This window comes from Homo sapiens, chromosome 21 (genome assembly GCF_000001405.40).
Source record: "Homo sapiens chromosome 21, GRCh38.p14 Primary Assembly".
Lineage (NCBI taxonomy): Eukaryota > Metazoa > Chordata > Mammalia > Primates > Hominidae > Homo > Homo sapiens.
Window position 1 is genome coordinate 32,878,951 of NC_000021.9, and position 20,780 is coordinate 32,899,730.

Consider the following 20,780-nt stretch of genomic DNA (forward strand, 5'->3'; position numbering starts at 1 on the left):
GATTCTAAGGTCAGAAATTCCATCTGTGGGAAGGGTATAGGATGGGCAAGTGGTTGTATCTAGTGCTACATGACTTTTGGTTAGCAAGCAGCTATAAGGAAGTGGACCAATGTGCAGCCTTATTAATGCTTAATTATGACTATATTTCTGTCCAGAACTTGGCATGCAATTTTTGTGAGCCTAGCATGCAATTCTTGTGAGGGTAGTTTCAGTGGCAACTGTACCATGTTGGCAGGAGTATAAATTAGTGTAATCTTAGTTAAATGTGTGCCCATGTTATCACCCAGAAAATCTACTCCTAGGTATGTTGCAAAGAAAAATGCCCATAAAAAGATGTGTCCAAGAATGTCCATGGTAGCTTTATTCTTAATAACCCCACACTGAAAACACAAGAGAACTGATAAGCAAACTGGCATATTTTTACAATGGATTACTGCTCACCAATCAAAAGCAACATACTACTAATACAAGCAACATCATGAATTAATTTGAAAAACATTATATTGAATGCAAGAAGCATAGTTTCTTTCTGTGTCTTCACATCACCTTCTCTCTGTGCATGTTTGTCTCTGTGTCCAAATTTTCCTTTGTTATAAGGACACCAGTCATATAAGGTTAGGGCCCACACTAATGAGCCCATTTTAACTTGATGAGGTCTATAAAGACCCTATTCAAAAATAAGATCACATTCTGAGGTCCCAGGGGTTAAGATTCCAGTGTGTTTTTTGGTGGGGTGGGCGGCACATAGTTCAACCAAATGGCACAGTTACATTTTAACACAGCCTCCTGGATAGGCGCCGATGTCCACTGCATCTCTGGTAGGAGAATCTGGGGTGTCTAAATGTGGGGATAGTCCATCCTCCCCTCCTGCCCCTCCCAGGCCTAAGATGCGTGGTGCATGGACAGCTCTCCTGGGAAGCTGTTTCCTCTGTGTATCACAGAGCAAAGCCAGACCTCAAAACTTCATTGAAATTAAGCAATACATACTCCCCTATCTCTACAGAAACCTCATGAAAATGGTGCTGAATAATTGGTTTTAAACAAGTATCGTCTTGAAGCAGGTCTAGTATGTCTAGAGAGAAGGCTGTGAACCTGAAACCAGTGGGCAGTGACTTTTTTTTCAACTAAAGAAAAAGCTGGTGATAAATATTAACAATATAAAAAATGTTCCAGAAACCAGGCCAGCAAAACCTAAGCAGGAATGTCATGGACGGCTTCTTATAAATGCTTCGTGTTGTTGTTAATCCCAGTTTTAATTTCTAGCCTTATTAAAGACTTAAGGCTTTATCTCCGTTTCTTTCCCCTGGAAAACCAGATGCACATAATGATCTTTATTTCTGTCATTTTCTCAGTGGTCACAGGGTCTATGCTGCTTAATCTTTTTTATTTCCACGTGGATTAATGAGGGCTGTGTGGCTCTGTCTTTGTCCCCTGATGAGTCCCAGGGACAAGCATCTGTGGGATTCAACATTGCTTCTCAGAGCAAGATTTTCACCGTGTAGATAAATGCCGCAGTGGAGGGGGGTAAGTACTGGGTGCCAGCTTTGCTGAAACAGGCAGAACAGAATCCATCATAACCTGTTAAATGGCCTCCCCCTAGCCCCCAATAATTGCATTTATGTCTCAGCCAGAGAACTTGTCTGGAAGGCTTTTGCAAGTACAACGCCCCACAGACGGCAGGGAGAGAAGAGCGATCAGAGAAACAGAGTCTTAGAATCAAAAATGACCTTAAATCATTTAATCCAGCCTGCCTTAAACAAAACAAAACAAAACAGAACAAAGCAAAACACCAGAGAGGCTGTGTGTTTTCTAAAGGATACACCACAGCAATACATAACACCATGAATTAATGGAAGAGAAGATCTGGTCTCAACAATGCCCCATTGACTGTAGCCTAAGGACCTAATAGCACCAAGGGTGAATATTTGTTTGTCACCTGCTTTAAAAACATGTGCAAAGTTAGGGGATTAAGACTTCAGATACCTGCCACGGGTGTGTTCTTATGCTGTGAAGGGCTTCACAACCTTGATGAACGTATTCTTGGTGGGAGGGGTGCTTAACATCAGTATTATTTTTCTTCCCCAGCAAAAAAAAATCCATTTGAGGATGTTCCAAAGAGTATAAATAATATGTGACTTTTTTTTTTACACCAAACTTGGAGCATTTGAACAGAGAAGTAGTAAAAGAATTACTTTTAAAATACATCGTTAGTAAGGAATAAAGGTATATTCATGATTTTGGAATGAAAAGAAATATGAATATTTTAAGAGCTTTGTTCTGGTTATTCATGATGTATTGGCCACAGTTACAAGTATTCAGAATTTAGATGACTCCCCTACCTTTCTTGTTCCACTGAGCTAATGGGGGTTGGGGGTTTGCCATGGTCCAGTAGGAACTATGGAGTTTCTAGGAGAAAAGGGGTGTTCTCCCGTGTAAAGAGTCAAGGATATCTAATTCCTGTAAGGTCAAAAAGGACAGTGGCGATATGGAAATTGGAATTTTATAAATAGGAAAAGAGGGTAACATTGAAATATGAATTAGGACATAGAATTGCAAATGGATATTTAACAAATAGGAAAAATGTTTGGTCCAACAAGGGCAACTTAGAGGTCGGGCCAGATTCGGAGTAAGAAGATGAATGTTGGGAGTAAAAGGAGAGGCAAAAATAAGTGGTTGGGTCCTGACTGTAGAGAGGCACAGTAACAGCGGCACTGGAGGCTTATGAAGACTTGTGTGATGTGCAGTTTGAAGGTGTGTGACATCTTTGGCCTCTCAAAGCTCCATTTTTGGTTGACAGTTGCACATGACTGGAGCCCAGTAGTCAAGAACTTGAGCTTCAGCTTCAGATAAACCTGGCTCAAGTCGCACTCCACTTTTGGTTACACGTGTGGCTTTGGACAAGTCACTTAACTTTTCTAAGGCTCAGTTTCTCAGCTGTAACATGGGGCTGATCACATGCACCCTATAGAGTTGTAAGATTTCATGGGATGGTAGATATGAAGCACTTTGCACTGTGTCTGGCACTTAGTAATTGCTCAGAAATTGATGGCAATTATTACTAATTATTACTAATAAGAACAAATGTTCTTTCAAATTGCTTCAAAGAAAATGCAGTAATTTTCACATCATTGACGTTTTTCAAAGATTATCATTGTGTTACCAAAAAGGGGTCCCAATCCAGACCCCAAGAGAGGGTTCCTGGATCTTGCACAAAACAGAATTTGAGACAAATCGATAGAGTAAAGTGAAAGCAAGTTTATTAAGAAAGTAAAGGAATAAAGAATGGCTACTCTATAAGCAGAGCAGTCCCGAGGGCTCCTGGTTGGCCATTTTTATGGTTATTTCTTGATTATACGCTGAACGAGGGGTGGATTATTCATGAGTTTTCCAGAAAATGGGTGGGCAATTCCTGGAACTGAGGGTTCCTCCCCTTCTTAGACCATATAGGGTAACTTTCTGATGTTGCCATGGCATTTGTAAACTGTCATGGCACCGGAGGGAGTGTCTTTTAGCATGCTAATGTACTATAATTAGCGTATAATGAGCACGGAGGAAAACCAGAGGTCACTTTCGTCGCTATCTTGGTTTTGGTGGCTTTTGTCTGACTTATTTACCACAATCTGTTTTATCAGCAAGGTCTTTGTGACCTGCCTCTTGTGCTGACCTCCTATGTCATCCTGTGACTTAGAATGCCTGACCTCCTGGGAATGCAGCCCAGAAGGTCTCAGCCTCATTTTACCCAGCCCCTATTCAAGATGGATCCAATCTGTTTCAAACACCTCTGACAATTGCAGATTTTACTGGTTGGCTATTTGCCTGCCTTGGGGTTCTTAGCAGCAAACAGAAGAACCCACCCCAGCTAACCTCGGGAGCAAGGCTACCCATCAAATGGTTCCTTAGGTAATTCAGAGCCTTTAGGAGGCCTGGAAGACAGGCCTTGTAGCCAGAAACCCAATCATACAGCCAAACACAGACCTACCACTGGCCCACTGGGCACAGACTTGGTGCTTATTATGGCAGACACTGAACTCCAGGACTTTTGTCACTGCTGCCCCCAAAACCAGATGCCTCCACAACCACCATCTTTGCCAGAGAGTGGGTTCTCTGCAGTACCTGTTTCCTCCAAACAAGATTATTACACGGGTGCACCCATGAGCCCAGCCCCAGCCACGTACCTGTTCCATAGCCAACAAGGAGGCTGGGAATTGAGGATCTGGCCTCTACTTTAGGAAGAAAGAAACCCCCAAGCCATAATAAGAGAGGTGTTCAAAAGGAGCCAGGAAGCTAGAAAACATGACAAACACCCACACACTGCTAGGAATTGAGGGCCACACTTCAAATCCAGTTCCTTCTCATTATGTTCTGTTGGCAAGTTTATGCTTCTTATTCCTATGACGATGGAAACTGACTTCCTCACTTTGAAAAAGAAAAAAATAATTTAAAAAATCAACAACATTGCAATACTGAGAGCTCAGGAGCCCATCAAAGGTGAACATGGGTTGGACACAGTGGTTCATGCCTTTGGGTGGCCAAGGCAGGAGGATCACTTGAGGCCAGGGGTTTGAGACCAGTCTGGGCAACAAAGCAAGATTCCATCTCTAAAGAATTCTTTCAAAAAACAATGAATGACTGGGGGACAGAATGAGCTGCTGATGCTGACACTCTCTTTACCATCGTAATATTCCATCATTAAACTCAGACTGGCCACATTTAGTGCATTTATATGCACCTGCCACGTGCAAGTCAGAGTTTACAGCGGGCACTATCCCTTTCAAACAGGTCAACTTGAGATGTTTTTAATATGCTTATTTCAATGAGCTGCCAATAAATTCACTTAAAGCTGATGGGTATCATTACTTCTGATGTCTCTTCAGAATCAGCAGCAGGTTCTTTTGACTGTAATCAGTTGTTGCAAATTTATTCTCAGTTTCCTCATCTGCAAAATGAAGATAGTAATCATTTATACTTCTCAGTGTTCTTGAAAGCATCAAATGATGCAAAGTGCAGTGCCGGGCATGTAGAAGAATTTAACAGAAGTCAGCTATGCATCTTGTTGAGCCCAGTCTGGGGAATAAGATAGCAATCCATTTGAGCTATATCATTTTGAGTCTAAACTGAGACATGACTACAATGAGACAAATTTTCTTTTACAGCTCATAAACGAGCTCTCGAGGCAGTTTTGTTAGGCTCCAAAAAAGGCTTTCACGAGGTCAATGCCGGTGGCATAAGTACCTGCTGGGCTTCCCAGGACAGCAGCTGACAGCACAGGCTTGGCAGGTAGGAGGCGTCCTTGGGCTTCACTCTCATGCATGATGTCACCTTCCAGCGACACATGGAAGTGGATATACCCCTCCCTAGTGCTGCATCCTCATAAACTCTCTAGTTACTCCAGAGATAGAGTTTCTACAACATGCAGGATCTGTTGCACGCCGTTCCATGCATTGTCAAAAGCGCTCCCTTCCACTGATCTGCCAGATGATGGTGCCCTGGGCAGTGACCTGACCCTTTGAACAGGTGAAAAGATCATCTCAGGAAATCAATAGAGATGCTTACTGCTGTTGCTCATCCCTGAAAATCTTTAAGGTTCTCCATGTTAACATATGTACTTTTAACTCAGCCCTTGTTCTGAAAAAGGAGCTGCGCTTTGCCAGGTAACTCGATGCCCTCTTCACCCAAGGGTCAAGGCTCAGAGCTGACGAGCTCTGGCAGCTCTGTCAGAGGTCGTGCCCTTCCCCTGCATGAAGGCTTTCATGAATGGCATTGCGCACACCCCTGGGAGGAAAATGCCCCCCTAAGATGCTGCTCTTGGCATCCCATAGGGGCCTGCGCCAGCTTCAGATCGACCACTCTCCAGAGCAGATGCTGGGACAGGCAGGGCAGATGGTCTCGCCATGCCGTCTTAGCTCCCATCACCTTGTCACAGAGGGACTCGAGATCAGAGGGGTCCAGAGTTCTCTTTTCCTGTCTTTTCCTCTTGTGTTGCTTCTTTCCTAGGTAGATAGATAGATGGCTGATGATAGACAGGATGGATGGATGGGTGGTGGATAGAGAGGTAGAGAAATGCCATGAAGTGCAAAGTAATAAGTAGCTGAAATTCTGTCATTTTTTTCTTTCCCAATACTTTGTAAACAGTAAAAAGAATGGGTAGGCCATCAGTAAACAGCTATTATGTGTACTGTCATTATCACGTTCAATATTGTATGCTTGCTATTATTCTTCTTTCTCTCACCTTCGAGTAAACATTAACTGAACATCTAATATGTGCCAAGCACCCTGGACAGCCAGACTCCCATCCAACCTTCCACATCACCTCAGGTCACCATCTTGCAGGTACCCCCAGGTCTGATCTCACTGAATTACTCACCAACTCTCCATTCTCCCAGAACTCAATACCCTACTCCCTCTTCCTAAAGCAGCCTTTCATTTCCTGCACCTGGCAAAGATTATTCAACCCTAAGGACCTCTAGCAAATGTCACCTCCTCTCTGAAGCCCACCCCGATAGGCTTCCCTTCTTTTAGTACCTATTGTATCCTGATTATTGGTTCATATGTGTGATTATCTGCATACACCATAAGCTTCCCTTTAATCATCTTGTACTTTCTTTTTTTATATATATATTTTTATTATACTTTAAGTTCTAGGGTACATGTGCACAACATGCAGGTTTGTTACATATGTATACATGTGTCATGTTGGTGTGCTGCACCCATTAACTCTTCATTTACATTAGGTATATCTCCTAATGCTATCCCTCCCCACTCCTGCCATCCCACAACAGGCCCCGGTGTGTAATGTTCCCCTTCCTGTGTCCAAGTGTTCTCATTGTTCAATTCCCACCTATGAGTGAGAACATGCAGTGTTTGGTTTTTTATCCCTGCGAGAGTTTGCTGAGAATGATGGTTTCCAGCTCCATCCATGTCCCTACAAAGGACATGAACTCATCATTTTTTAATCATCTTGTACTTTCTACCCACCCCCAGACACCCCTGAGAGAGTCTTCGGCACATATGATGTCCTCTATTGATGTTTGCTGAATAGATGAGGATGCCAAAAGAGGGAGGAGATACCAAAAGAGGGAAAGAAGGACACCCAGAAGACAAATGGTGCTCACCTTGAGGTAGGTTGGAGAGGGTGATCACAGCCTTCCTTGAAAGGAAACAGGAAAGTTGTCAAACTTATGGAGAGACCAAACCACCCGACAGTGCACAAACTGCATCTGAGGCTCTTGGTTAGGACATCCTGGAGCAGAGAGGAGCAGGGGCAAAAGGGAAAATCCCCAAGTCCGCACAGATGCACAAGTCCACGACCAATGTCCTTAAGCTGAACCATGCTCATTTTAATGCTAAAAACACACCCCTGGGTGGAGATTTCAGATGCTAATGAGACATGGGATGTATGTGCTAGCGTGTACAGCAGTAGTGCGTGGGCATCCAGGAGACCTCCCACGGCATGCTTAACAACAATGCCCATTCCCATCCTTCATGAATAATCATGTAAGACTCCTATAAAGGGAGCTCCCTCAGCGTCAGTGGGCGCTGTCAGCCTGCTCTAACCCAGCTATCGGAGTGTACTTTCGCTTTGCAATAAGCTCCTTTACCTACTTTCACTTTGGACTCGCTCTCAAATTCTTTTGTGCCGTGAAGTCAAGAGCCTGAACCTGCACACCAACAACAACCTCACAAATGTGGGTTGCACCTTCCTGGGTACTACACAGCCATAAACACAACTTGCTCCCTCTCATGCATCTTCAGTCTCTTCCTCTGGCACCTAATAGTCTTGACATGGGTTGGTCTGGTTAATCTTTCAGTTTTTCCCCTTTACCAAAATACCTAGCAGATAACTTTTATAGACAGGGACCCCACTGTGCTGAGCCCTGTGAGCCCCCGACATTCTCTTTTCCTGCATTCGGTACAGTCCAGGAATGAGGGCTGCATTCCATTTCTACTGTTAAGGATGAAGAAGATGCTCGCAGATTTGGAAACTGCCTCACAGTTCACCATCAGCTTTTTCGTGGCTTTTGCTGTTAAAGCCTCTGGTCCCTGGGACAGCCCCTGGTTCTAGATTCCCACAGTCTGCAGCATCCTTGTCTTGGTCCCAATTCTCTTCTTGCCCATGAGACTCTCAGCCCTTCTGCAGGCCCACAGGGACATGTGGTGTCCCTGGGTGTCTTACATACATGGAGGGTTTGGTATATATGGGTTTGCTCATCTGATCAGGCTGTGAAACCCCACACTTTTCCAGGAACTAACAGACAGACTGAAACAGGTGGACAGCCAGCCAGCTGTCCCCAAGCCATCCTCCCTGTGGTGATATCTCAGAACGAGACCTTTGGGTATCATAGTGACCTCTGGGCTCTGACTGTGTTGAGAAGCTATTAAATGTCTGCTGAAAGAACAGCAACTTCCCTGTGAGAAAAGCAGGAGAATCATTAACATTTTCTCTCCAAAATGGGAGCAAGTGTTGGGCCCAGAAATGGAAACCAGCAAGTGATGTAAAAAGTTTTTCTATGAAAGATGCTTATCAAATCCTGGCTCAAAACAAGGAAGAATGCTAAAATTTGCAAATGAAATATAATTAGTGTGACCACTCTTCCCTGCATGCCTCAGATACCTCTTTTTCTGTGGTGTTGTTAATTGGTCCTATACATCCTTAAAAATAACATAGAAAGTTATTGAGCTAGCAAGTGTTCTAAATATTTTATTAGAACACATCCTGGGAATTTTTAAAAATGTGTAGATGTTTTGTCTCACCCAACAGACACACACACACACACACACACACACACACACACACACACCTGTGTATGGACAAAAACACATCCTCTTTTGCGAGTTATGGAAGGGAGACAGTATTGCTTGGTCCACCCCAAACTCCCACTTATCTGTCTGGGAACTGCCCTCCACATTCTTGGGGTTCCCATGGGATCTGCCATGTTCTTACCTTCCCAGACCTGTCAGCCTCAGATGATTGCTCCTGTGGTTGGTTCCTGACCCAGCTAGACCAGTGCCTCCTTGTCCCAAGATGTGCATACCTGGGACATAGATAGTCGGCTCATAAGTCTCAACGGCCATAGCTATAAGATGTGACAACAGTGTAGACACTGTTGTCTACATGAGGTAAATGATGGCTTACAGCTAGACAGAAGAAAGACACAGAGACAAGAGGCAGAGAGAGGTTCTTGATAGCTTTGGAGACCCTGGAGGCAGGTGTTCCTGAGGCCAAGCTCTGTCCCCTCCTGCATCTTGGTTGGGCAACAGTTCCTTAGATTTGATGAGATTTTCTAGGGTTTGCTGTCTACTTTTCTTTATGGCCTGCAGGGTAAGAATTTACATTTTGAATGGTTGAAAAAAAAAAACAGAAGAGTAAAATACTTTGTGACATGTAAAAATTATGTGAAATTCAAATAGAGTTTTATTGGAACAGAGTCACACTGATTTATGTATTGCTGTGGCCACTTTTGTGCTACAATGGAAGAATTGAGTAGTTGTGACAGAGACCCTCAAATAGCTGGAAAAGCATAAAATATTTGACTCTTTATAGAAATCAAACTATCTGGCTTTTTATAGAAACAAAGGGCTGACCCTAAAGTCAGCAACAATGAAGGGCCTTTTAAGAAGCCATGAAATGAAATCAGCTCTTTGAAATGTCACTCATTGCTGCGAGATCTCTGGTACTTGTATATTTGGGAAGAGGTTCTAACTGCAACCATTGTCCTTTAGGAAAAAAAGAAAAAGGGAACACATAGAAGCCAACTCCAGCCTTTAAACACGTAGGAGATCCTCAGCTATTTGTATGTGTAAAATGAAGGAAGACCAATGCCTGCTTTCCCTCCCTCTCAATCCAGTCAAGAAACTATGTAGTCAAGACTTACATAGTTCCAGGAACAGGAAACTCACTCTACAGCCTTGTGAAGAAACTGATTCCATCTTTGGACACTTCTTTATAATAAACCCCAAATCTCTCTCCTTAGAACTCATACCTAGTGACTCCATTTGCTTCTCTTGAGGTCATCAATATCAAATCTGCCTTCCTCATGACAGCCTTTCAAATATTAACAGACACTGTCATATGTTTCAAATATTAAAAAATACTGTCATATGTTTGTTCTCTCAATTCTTCATCCCAGCCCTTTCAGCTGTGTCTCTTGTAACGCAGGATTTTATTCCCCTGAGCATCCCAGCTCCTCTTTTTTGAATACATTCCTTTCCTTTTACATCCCCGTTCAGATGCATTCCTTAGCACTGGATGTCACACTCTGGTCTACACAAAGGAGAGGAAGACCATTGCTGCCCCTTCTTCTAGATGTTGTCTGTTGACTTCCATTGATTGCTTTCAGTTGCATGATATTTAATTTAAGAAATCACATGGCCGGCACTGTCCATTGGAAAAGTGTGATGTTAAGGTCCCAAATAGTTCCAAGGAGTGGACTGCAGTGTGTGTGCACCTTGCTTTTAGAGAAAAGGCAGCCTGGAATGGAATTCTCCCGGGTAGGTAAAGAGAACAAAAGACCAGGGCTCCTCCATAGCAACTTATGGGGTGAGGTTCATTTTATACCTGCTAGAGAAGGAGGGAAGATGCCCCTCCTTCTTGAGAGCAGGGACTCAAAAAGATAGTTGTACACCTATGTTCACAGCAGCATTATTCACAACAGCCAAAGGTGGAAACAACCCAAGGGTTCATTGATGGATGAATGGATCCAACAAAATACGGTATGTACATACAACGGGATATTATTCAGCCTTAAATAAGGACTACAATTTTGGCACATGCTACAGCATGATGAATCTTGAGGGTAGAATGCTAAATGAAATAAGTCAGACACAAAATGACAAATGCTGTATGATTCAACTTATTTGAGGAATGTAGAGTAGTCAAATTCATAGAGACAGAAGGCAGAATTGTGGTTACCAGGGACTAGGGGAAGAGGAATGGGGAGTTAGTGTTGAACGAGTACAGAGTTTCAGTTCTGTGAGATGAAAAAGTTCTGGAGATGGATGGGGGTGATGGTTGCCCAACAATGTCAATGCAGTTAATGCCACTGAATTGTACATTTAAAATGGTTAAAATGGCAAATTTTACATTATGTGTAGTTTACTACAAAAAAAAAGTTCTGCCAAAGAAGAAATCAATATTCCAGTGACACACTTGATTTTCAGAAACTTTGGTATCGGTGGCTTTTCTTTTAGCAGATTGAAAAAAAATTCATAAATTTGGTGATAGGCTGGGGGGAAACAAGACAAACTTATGCAAGGCTGGTGAGAATGTAAATTTGTGCGACCCCTACAGTGGGTAGTGGAGCGATAGATATGAAAGCAGAAATTCATAGATCCTTTTGCCCAACAATCTCAATCCTGGGAACAGCCCTGATAAGAGTGAAAGATTGACAAATAACCCAACTGTCCATCAATATTAGTAAAGGACTGTTGAATCGATCAGTACATCTCCACAATGGAAGACCATGTGGCTGTAAGTAAAGAATGAGCAGTGTTGTATGGACTGCTGTGGAATAATCTCTAGGATATGTTGTAATGTGCAAAAAAGCAGAGGCAAGTACCATGTGTACTTAACTCGCACAGTGAGTTCACCATGTGAGTGAACTCTTGTATTAAGAAAAAATAATGTCTATATATTTGCTTACACATACCCTGAAATGTACATAAGAAACTTGCTGGCCAGGCGCAGGGCTCACAACTGTAATCCAAGCACTTTGGGAGGCTGAGGCAGGTGAATCACTTGAGCTCAGGAGTTTGAGACCAGCCTGGGCAACATGGTGAAACTCCGTCTCTACCAAAGATACAAAAAATTATCCAGGTGTGGTGGCACATGCCTGTGGTCCCAGGTACTCGGGAGGCTGAGGTGGGAGGATTGATTGAGCCTGGGAGGCAGATGTTGCAGTGAGCTGTGATTGTGCCACTGCACTCCAGCCTGGGCGACAGAGCAAGACCCTGTAAAAAAAAAAATTTAGCCGATTGTGGTGGCGGACACCTGTGGTCCCAGCTACTCAGGAGGCTGAGGCAGGAGAATGTCGTGAACCAGGGAGGTGGAGCTTGCAGTGAGCCGAGATCGTGCCACTGCCATCCAGCCTGGGTGACAGAGTGAGACTCTGTCTCAAAAAAAAAAAAAAACACGAAACTTGCTTATCTATCTGTGAGCATATGTGTGATGGGAGGACAAGAATTGAGAAGATGGGATCAGGAAGAGGAGGGAGGACATATGATTATCTATCTATCTATCTACACACATGCATATATACATATATATACACACACATACATATGCACTATGTGTATGTAACTCCCTGTGAAAATATTTTCTATTCAACAAATTAAAAAAAAAAAACTTTAGTCAGAAGTGAAATTACATAGAATTTGGGATGCCTTGCCATAAATGGCCTCTCCATAGTACCTCATCCTGGCATCACCTAAATGGGAGGGTTCTACCCCAATAGCTGAAAGCCCTGCCTGAGCCTTGGGGGCTCTGTGCTGTGGCCAGTGCTGGACTATGCAGCTCTGGATGCCCCCGACCTGCCGTTCCTCTGACCACTCATGAGAAGCCCACAGGGGCAGCTCTGCCCCCTCACCTTCTACTTCCATTGTTCCCACTTTTAGAGACCAGAATTTTCCCCAAACAAGTCAACATCTTGCTGTGTTTGCAGAAAACATCCTAGCATTGGAGGGACTACCAGATGGAAAAATAGCTCCCCTTTTCCATTTAGAAGTGGCTTGTTTGATTTCAAAATATAAACCCTGTCCTAATAATAAAAATTACTTTTTTTCTCAGAGATGTGCCAAAGTCCCTCACCATCTATCCACAGGAGAATGTTCCATTTTTTTGGATGCCTCATAGTCACCTGGTGTGGGGGACAGACCCTGTGGTGGCCCCACGGTCCGCACCTCCTGGTATTCACACCCTTGTGTGCTGCCCTCCCCTTGAGTGTGGGCAGACCCTGTGACTTGCTTCATAGTAGAATGTGACAAAGATGATGGGCTGTCACTCCTGGGCTTACGTTACATCGTGCGAAACCCGACTTACAAACAGATTTGCTTTTGTGCTCTTGCTGGCCTTGAAGAAGCAGGCTGCCATGTCGCGAATTGTCCATGCAGAGGCCACATGGCACATGAAGTGAGAACCATAAAAGAAAAGTTGACAAATGGTAATGATGCCTAGGAAAGAAAGATAAAGAAAAAGGGGTGCAGGAAAAACAAGAGGCCCAGCACCACAGAGTTAAAAGCAGTGTTTTGCTGGCTAATGCCAAACATGGACAACCAAGCCACAGATTTTTCCATAGCCCGAGAAGTTTTGTTTTTCTCAATGAAAAATCAGAAGACTTTGCATTAAAGCATATCAGTGATATAGATAGCCTCAAATAATCAAAAAGAATTTACAAAGCTGTACAACTCTGGTGTCAGTTAGCTTGGTGGAATGACACTGTTGCTCTCTTTTCTGTCTAATGGGCATTTCCTTCTAAGATATTAGTTCTGCCTCCCACGTATTGCTGCTACTGGATGCTTGACGGCTGTGAGTCTCAGGCATGGGGGACTGACGGTTTTGGTGTGTGTCTGGGTGAGCACAAATTACCTGAATGCTGATGTGGTAGGCGTCTCCTGGAAAGAACACTGTCTTTAATTGACTTAATGTTATTTTCACCTGGATAAAAATTTCAAATTTTTATACTATTTGTATTTTCTTTCCTTCTTTCTTCTTTCTTTTTTCTTTCTCTTTCCTTTCTTCTTTTCTTTCTTTCTTTCTTTCTTTCTTTCTTTCTTTCTTTCTTTCTTTCTTTCTCTCTTTCTTTCTTTCTTGCTCCCTGTCTCTCTCTCTCTCCCTTCCTTCCTTCCTAACTTCCTTTCTTCCCTCCTTCCTTCTTTCTTCCTTTTTCTTTCTTCTTTCTTTCCTTTCTTTTCCTCTTTCTTTCTTTTCTTTTTTCTTTCTCCTTTCTTTCTTTCTTTTTTCTTTCTTTCTTTCTTACTTTCTCTTCCTTCCTTCTCTCTTCCTTCCTTTTCTTCCTTCTTTATTTCTCTCTGTCTCTCTCTTTCTGTCTCTCTCTGTCTCTCTCCCTCTCTTTCTGTCTCCCCCTTTTTTTCTTCCTTTTCTCTTTTCTTCCTTTCATGGGTCTCGTTCTGTCACCCAGGCTGGAGTGCAGTGGTGCAATCCTCGCTCACTGCAGCCTCAAACTCCTGGGGCTCAAATGATCCTCTCACCTCAGCCTCCTGAGTAACTGGAACTACAGGTTTACGCTATCACACCTGACTAATTTTTAAATTTTTTGTAGAGATGGGATCTCACTATGTTGCCTAGGCTAGTCTTGAACTCTTGGCCTCAAGCAATCCTCCTGCCTCAGCCTCTCAAAGTGCTGGGATTACAGTCACCCTGCCTGGCCCATTTTTTTTTCTTTAGGGAGCTAGGGGTGAGTGTTTTGCATTTTCGTTTCCTCTCTTGTACTGTCAGCCTGGCTTCTGTTAGCACTCCTGTGTCTGGAGGACCAGGAAATCCCAGCCTAGAAGACTACCTAGAAGCTCCTTCCTGGCCAGAGAGGAGGACTGAGAACACCATAGCAAAGGGCTGCTGTTCTGAGCATGAGCAGAACCCCCCTTAGACCTAACTTCCTGCTTTTCCTCTATGACAGCCTCGAGGTCTTTAGGAAAACGGTGACTCTGGAGCACAGCCCTGGATCCCTGATGGCAGGTGGATGAATCTGCTCCCCACCTGGATGCTGCTAGTCCTTTCTCCAGGCTCCGTGACTGAAAATGTGCTTTACTTGGCAAAAGCTGTTTCTCCTCAGAACTCTAGAAATCAGATCTTGGCCCACCTCTTTCAGGTAAGGACCTTCTTAAAATTGATGCTTGACCCAACTAAATTTGAATTACACCCTATCCCTCTTGGCCTTGTAAAATCGTATGTATATATTTTGAGACGAAGTCTTGCTCTGTTGCCTAGGCTGGCATACAGTGGTGTGAGCTCAGCTCACTGCAACCTCTAACTCTGAGGTTCAAGTGATTCTCCTGCCTCAGCCTCCCAAGTAGCTGGGACTTACAGGCACACACCATCACGCCCAGATAATTTTTCTATTTTTAGTAGAGATGGGGTTTCACCGTGTCGCCCAGACTGGTCTCGAACTCCTGAGCTCAAGTGATCCGCCCGCTTCAGCCTCCCAAAGTGCTGGGATTACAAATGTTAGCCACCACCCCTGGCCCATATAGAATTACTGTAGAGTTCAAATTCTGGTTCTTGCATGTCCTGGCTGTATGACCTTGTGCAAGTTACTTAACATCTATGTGCCTCATTTTCCTCATCTGCAAAATTACCTCTCCTTGGTGTCAGCATGAGGATTAAATAAGAAAATGAAGTCTAAAGTTAGTATCATTGGAAAAAGATAAATCAGGTTCCCATACTCATGGCTTACTAAGTATTAATTGGGGGGAGGAGGTTAATTCATTGTGTGGTCAGGAATTCCTTTCATGGATCAGTAATCAACACATAAGTCCACCTTCATCTGGTTGGAAACTGTTGGTGATGGTGGGGAGGGGTCATTTGTAGGAGGAGATATTTAGTCATGTGACTCATCACTGTTCTACCACATATCCACAGGAGGCAGCCTTTAGGCTAGAACTATGAAAGCAGTTAGGATGGAAAATTGGAAAGTGGTTCCAGGGGACAGCCTAGGATAGATACAGATTTTCAAAAATTGAGATTTAAATGTCAGCAACATTGCTCATTAATTAACTTGTTTGACAAACATTGAGTGCCATATCCTACCTTCTGGTCCCATCAAAAGGAGTAAAACTCAGCCCTCATCCTCAAGGAGCACTTAGATCAAGCCAACTTGTTGGTTTTTAAATTGTATTTGATAATGCATTGGACTTTGCTAAATTCTAGAGAATACTTACAAAATCAAATGCATGTCTAATCATGTAAAATGAGGGACACGTAAGAATAACCGGGTGTATTAGTTCATTCTCATGCTGCTATAAAGAACTGCCTGAGATTAGGTAATTTATAAAAGAAAGAGGTTTAATTAACTCACAGTTCTGAATGGCTGGGGAGGCCTCAGGAACCTTACAATCATGGTGGAAGGGGAAGCAAACACATCCTTCTTCACATGCTAGCAGGAAGGATAAGTGCTGAGCAAAAGGGGGAAAAGCCTCTTATAAAACCATCAGATCTTGTGAGAACTCATTTACTATCACAAAAATAGCAGCATGAGGGTAACCGCCACCATGATTCAATTACCTCCCACTGGGTCCCTCCCATGAAATGGGGGGATTATGGGAACTACAATTCAAGATGAGATTCGGGTGGGGACGCAGCCAAACCATATCACTGGAAGTGAATAGAATTTGTTGAGACAAATTGAAGAGTAATTTGTTTTATTGAAGTGAGTGCAACTCATTGGTATTTTACTGTGTTCTGGGATCCAGGAGCCCAGTTTTTAGAACCTCCTCCAACCAAGACCACTTCATTATTCCAGCAGACTCACTGACCCTTTCTTATGTACAGTTTTCACTACTTTCCCAGATCCCTTGTGTTTAGATCTGGCAAAAAAACTAGTTCTAGCCAAAGAAATATGCACCCTGACCAAACTTAGACAATTGAGTATCTGCTTTCCACAGGCTCTTTCTATTTCACAGCAACCTTGCAGGCCATGTGTTAAAAATGGTGCTATACAAGATGAAAGGAGTCTGGGATCCTGAGTTACTGCTTGGGAGGGAAATTTTCAATCTAAAATGGATTGTGGTACAAGCAGAAATAAACCTGTCATGTGTTAAACCACAGAGGTTTGGGGGATGTTTGTTACTGCAGCTTGTGTAGTTTACCCTGACTAATATACTCTGTTACCATCCTTGCCAGGGCATATCTGGTCTTTCTATCTAATGCTACCTCTGGGTTTTAGTGGGAAAGAGGCCTCAAGGAAAGGGATTCTGTATATCAATGTTGACATTTCTTCTTCCTATATATAGCTGAACATTGGAGAGATTATGTTTGTTTAGAAAAGTTTTCACAAATCCTTTGTCATGAAGATTTCAGAGAAAGGTGACCATGAATTGTGTTAAGGTGACTTTTTATACACCAATTAAATAACCTGATTCAATGATTGCAGGGCATGAAGAGAAACGACAACAGTCTTGGGTGTTCTGATCTGAGTAGCTTGTCAGTGCCTAATAGCTCCTTTGCTGCATGTAGATACAAATGACCAATCTTACACTTTTTTTTTTTTTTTTTTTTTTTTACCCTCTCAAGCTAGATTTTCTTTCCTCAAGAAAATGTGAAAATGTCACTGGTCACAACCTCTAAGCCCTATAAGTTTATGTCTTTATTTTATGTTCTGGAGAGAAAAAAAAATTCACAATCAGAGAGAAAAGTAATTTTTCCGTTACTAATAAGCTACGTATGTGCAAAAGGTTAGTTTTGGAATTTCTTTCAAAGATCCTGTGATTCAAAGTAAAATATTTGGTAAACTATAATGAGGTAATTGTGAGAAATGAGACATTAAAGTGTGTTTGGAGCCTTTTATATATTTCAACTTTAAAAACAATTTGGTGTCTCCATCATTAAAACTAAACTTTCACCTGCTACAGATCTCCTTCTTTGCTCCAAAGACTATTGTTTGTTTGAACAGGGTGGAAAGGAGGTTGTCAGAGGCCTTTTACACAGTGCAAATGAGAGCAGAAATCAGCGGGGCCACAAGTGTTAATGAGAGAATGGCTGCTGATCAGAGCGTGGACTTGGCCACAGAAAGTTTATCTTGAATTTTAGAAGTTTTTCAGTTGGTTATTGGTGGTTGCAATAAAATAAATTACTTCTAAAATATAAATATTGAGTGAGTCATAATGTCTTAAATGATTATGACCACAGTTTGCAGACCTTGTGTTGTAACTTAAACTTGACATTTAAGCATTCAGCCTGCATTTAGAATTTCTAAATCTTAATATGTATTACTGCACACACATTTTGAAAAATATATAGATGAATATATAGCATTTATACCAATACATATAAACACATATTTCTTTTAAAAGATAGGCAAATACCATCATTTCTTCACTGGTCAACTCATGGAAGTCATGCTTACTAATCAACTTTTCATGGATCTAACATTTTATGCATTCATCTATAACACAGCTTTTCCATTGGATAATAACTCATTTTATCTTCAGGACAAGTTTGCATATCAGGGATCAGTATCCTCATTTTCTTTGCTTTTGAGATGGAGTCTTGCTCTGTCGCCAGGCTGGAGTGCAGTGGCACTATCTCGGCTCACTGCAACCTCCGACTCCCTGGATCAAGTGATTCTCCTGCCTCAGCCTCCCAAGTAGCTTGGATTACAGGGACATGCCACCACGCCCAGCTAATTTTTTTGTATTTTTAGTAGAGATGGGGTTTCACCATGTTGGTCAGGATGGTCTCGATCTCCTGACCTTGTGATCCACCCGCCTCAGCCTCCCAAAGTGCTGGGATTACAGGCATGAGCCACCGCACCCAGCCATCCTCGTTTTCTAGATGAGGAAACTGAGGCTCAGCAAATGACATTGTTACTGAGACAAATGTTTGAGCCAGGGAGGTGCTTGGAAAGACTATGGGGCTCTGAAGAGGGCAATTAAATTAAAATAAAGGGTGAGTTATTGTGAATATATGAACTACTCTAAAAAGATGAGAAATGTCACTCTCCCACTCAAAGTAGGGGAACTGGATGAGTGCAGGACCCTGAAATGTGGAAAGGCATTTAATGTAGGGAATGATGCTTATAAGAGGGTTTGAAGAGCTAGAGCAGAAGGCAGAGGGCATCCCCTGTAACTATTAGCCAATAACTCCCCACTCTTCCTCTTCCAAGCCACTGGTAGCTTCTAACCTACTTTCTCTCTCTAGAAACTTGCCTATTCTAAAAATTTCATACAAGTGGAATAATACAATCATACAACATTTGTCATTTTGTGCCTGGATTATTTCACTTTATATAATATTTCCAACATGTTACATGTTGTAGCATGCACAGAACTTTCTTTCTTTCCATGTCTGAATAATATTCCGTTGTATGGATATGCCACATTTTCTTTATCAATTCATCTGTTGATAGATGCTTGGGTTGTTTCCATCAGATTGTCTTTTGATATGACACATACTATCCTCAGATCTACCTCCCTCCCTTCCTCTTCCCCAAAGCTGCTCAACCAGAGGCTTGGGTAACAATTGGCCACACCCAACTTATCTAAGTCTGTTCTGTCCTCCATTCAGATGGGAGCCCACCCTTCAAGACGACTATATAGAAAATAAAACTATTGTCCTGAGAGACCATCTTTCTTGCTATTTGGCACCCACTATAAATCCTCATGGGCTATATCCTTTTGAGAGACACCATCATTTTAAATTTGAAGATGTGCTATTTATTGTTGTTTTTCAGCTCCAGACTCACCCTTCTAAATTCTGCTCTATGCTATTGGATTGGAGCAGAGGTTTTACAAACCACATGTTCACTTTCCCTGCAGGCTCCATGTTAGGCTCTGCCAAGAGGGTGTACTGAAGAGAAGCTAAAAGATTGGAGCAGAAAAAAGGAACCTGCTCCTTCTTGTTTGCTTCCTGTCCCTCTCTGCATCACCCAAGCATGCTTCTTCACCCCAGCAGCAGCAGTTCTTTCACACAGTAGGAGCTGCATGCAGTGAGCGGTGTTTCCAACAGTTATAGATCCTACCTCATTGTACCACTCCCCCACCTTGAGGACCAGCACTAGCTGGCAGGAGCATCTTCCTCACAGAACTGAATTTAAGCCCTACAAGGTCCCTCTTGTTAGCCCAGAAACATCATCAGCAGTTGGGCAGGGCCCTGTCCTCTGAGATCTGAGTTTCTGTTCCTCAGAGTCATTACATTATATGTTTTAAAAATAGCTCTTCCCTTTGTTTCTGCCAGCCCTAAGGTGGTGCTGCTTCTTGTAGTTGCTACTTCCATCTGTGACTTTCCAGTTAACTTTTAAACAATTTTATAACTAGTTAACAGCTATTTGTGTTAAATTCTCACTTTAAGTCCTCGGTTATAAGGTGTCTTCTCCCCGTCCTCTCCCAGACCATACACAATACATGGACATCGCACACATACTGCATGTGCATATGGAGTAGGAACATTCCCAATCAAGATAGTGAATATACTGTGGAGGGCTTTAGAGTGAGGCCAGACCCCATGGATCCAGGGACCTTCCCTGAAAAGGACTGAAGCCCACTGTGGTCATTGAAGAACAGTGGAAAGCTCTGGTGGGAACTGCGCAAGTAGAAGTTCCTCCAGATCAGGAACCTTTTCTGTCTCTTGACAAGGTAATATTGAGGAGTCTAAGAGAGGGTGGTCAAGGTCAGGCAGTCCCAGGTGATGGAAGAAAGGTGGCTTCTGAGGAATGGTATCAGACCTTCATGTCTCCTTTCTTCTGTGGTGCCCATAAACAAAGATTGGCTTAAACATACCAACTTAGTTCTACTAGGGCAGATTAGGTGATGGGTCCTGTACCCATCTAACATTAGATACCAGAATCAAATGTTAGAAGGGAGCAGTGACTCCCTCCCCCAGGGGTGAGTGGCAGCTATAATTCATAAGAACTTTCCACTGGGGAAGGTGAATCGGTCCAAGACTGACTTGCAATAAGGCTTGGAGCTGAAGACAAGAAACACTGATGGACATGAAAACTATTGGATAAAAGTTTGAAGAGGGACAAGGTATTAAATTCTCTGAAAGTATTTCTCCACAGATTATTTATTAATTACAAAGGGAATTATAGTAATCAGGTGAAGAAACTTGGCAGACC

General features: G+C 42.7%; 1 long non-coding RNA gene across 1 annotated transcript in view; it reads left to right on the forward strand.

Moving 5' to 3' along the window:
- Window positions 1-753: 753 nt before the first annotated feature.
- LOC105377136 (uncharacterized) overlaps window positions 754-20,780 on the forward strand; it is a 52,432-nt gene continuing 32,405 nt past the window's right edge. The window contains exons 1-4 of the long non-coding RNA XR_937669.3: window positions 754-1,524; window positions 5,154-5,277; window positions 6,982-7,118; window positions 14,628-14,819. This is a non-coding gene — a long non-coding RNA (uncharacterized LOC105377136). The remainder of the gene's footprint in view (window positions 1,525-5,153; window positions 5,278-6,981; window positions 7,119-14,627; window positions 14,820-20,780) is intronic.